Genomic DNA, 2,251 nt, shown 5'->3' with positions numbered 1-2,251 from the left:
CAAATGCTAAAATGAAGCTGTGGAATTCAGTCCTCCTCCAACAAGGGAGAGAAAAAGATGTCTTGTGACATGCACAGATAACTGGTGGCTATAGTTATGCTTGCCAAGATTTGGGTGCATGGGGCTTGGCTTTGGTTAGCTGCCTTGGCCTTACTTTCCCAAAAAGGAAACCTCTGGATGATGGGTATCCTGTTTTATTCCCATCACCTGGCAGGATCTGCAGGATAATTGCTCAGAACTAGAATATTGATCCAGATGTTTACATTTCCCATCTCCTTTTGTTCCTTCTGAGCTGCAGTTGGAGATTGCTGGTTGGTTCACAGGAATAAACAAGGTTAGCCTGAAATGTAAGCAAAAACTTAAAAACAACTAAGGAGTCTAGAATTTATGACAAATGTGAGATAAGTTTTGAAACATAATTTCTCTCTCTCCAATCCTCATTTTTGTTAAAAACAAATCATGATATGACTGAGTTATTTGCAAAATAGAGTTTAGCCTTATACTTGGCCTGATGATTTGCATAAAGTTCCACAAGAATAATTATTTTTACATAAGCCTTTTGCATTGGCTTTGATGGAACTCTGTTTCACAAGGAATCTCAGATAGGATTTTTAAAGCTGAGCCCAGCTATGGGTTTGTACCCTCAAATACCTGTGAGTTGGGTAAACTCCTCTTTTCTTGAGGTCCCAAGAAAACGAGTTTCTTGGGCCTGTTAAAAAGTGACATTCTTTATTCACTGCAGGTTAGGAACCCTGTACAGGGATGGTGTAGACAGGGTATGAGGCCAGTTTTACCAAGGGGCTTTTATCAGCTCTAGTAGTCAAGCTTGACTGCTTAAAGAGAAGCATACCATTCCAGTCAAAGCCTTGGTGACACACCAAGTTTCTCCAATTGCATCTCATTGCAAAAGAAAATGGATTATTATTGCACTGATGCAAACAACTATATTGCCATAAGGTAAGAATACTCACAACTAGTTTCCAAATTCTGGAGAAGCCAGAAAGAGAGAGAGGTAAATATGCTCCAAATTTTGTTCACAGGAGTATACCTTACTCAAGGTTAAGATAAGTTTCCTTGATTCTGAAAAACAAAGCATGGATCAGCAATGTTCCAAGCAGAAGTCAAAAAGATTAATTCAGTTTTCTATTAGTTCAGTCCATTCAGGTAACTCTGTTTTGCTTGATATTCATGAACACTTCAGCTCTTTATGAGTCCTGTACAATTTTCCTTTATTCCAATGTCACAATCTCCAAAGTTATCAGAAACCTGCATTTGAAAGCAGATATCAAATTTCTGTAGTTGACTATAAACTGTCTTTTGAAGAGGATCAAAACAAGACAATGGTCTCTGAGAAACAAAATATTCAGGGTAGTTACAGTTAGAAACACAATTGATAAAGTCATTTGGTTATCTCAGTGGTTTATAATAACTTAACATACAACCTTAATTGTGATTGATAGCATATACTCAGATATTAGAACTTTAGAAATCCCATACAATTTTGGAACATATATTAATATTTTCCCTAAAATATAACATAAAGAACATTAAACATCATTTTGGTAATCCTGTGTACTTAAACATGTCAAATAATCCTGCTTACTTCTCTTCTGGATGCTGCAGATTCTCTCTGTAGCATCCAAAAGCCAGTTGTCAGGAAAGACAATTTTGAAACTGATGTTTGATTTGGGGAGGCCTGTTAAATGTGTTAGAGGTTTAAAACTCTTGATGTTATGAAATAGAATTCCAGATTGCCATAAGTTATTTATTTTGCCAAAATGATGATTCAGAAATTTTAAAAAGAAAAACCTTTTCTAACCCTTTACAAATTTTGCCAAAGAGCAGATTAGTGCCTTAAGAGTAGCTTGTTGTGCTTTTATTTCAATGCTCAATTTACAGAAAAACCATATCATACCCTTTTGAATTTAGTCATTATGTTCACACATGGAATTTCTTTTGCAAGATTAATTTTTACAATCCTTCCACAGCTTGTTTGCACTTTTACCTTTATCTTATCTAATTCAAAACAATCCTTTAACCCTAGGCAAAAATTTAATTTTGATGACTTCTGCATTTTACCAGTAATCTTTAAGGCTGCTCTTATTTCTCAAATATTAAAATCATGTGAACTAAAAGGTACCACAACCTTTATCTCCCCCTTACAAATTCCCTTCAAGTCAATTAATTAGAGCTAATTTTTTTACAGACATCACACACACAAAACACATATATAACTACATAGACCGACAGA

This window comes from Homo sapiens, chromosome 7 (assembly GCF_000001405.40).
Source record: "Homo sapiens chromosome 7, GRCh38.p14 Primary Assembly".
Lineage (NCBI taxonomy): Eukaryota > Metazoa > Chordata > Mammalia > Primates > Hominidae > Homo > Homo sapiens.
The sequence above is the reverse complement of the archived record's forward strand: the minus strand, read 5'-3'. Positions refer to the sequence as shown.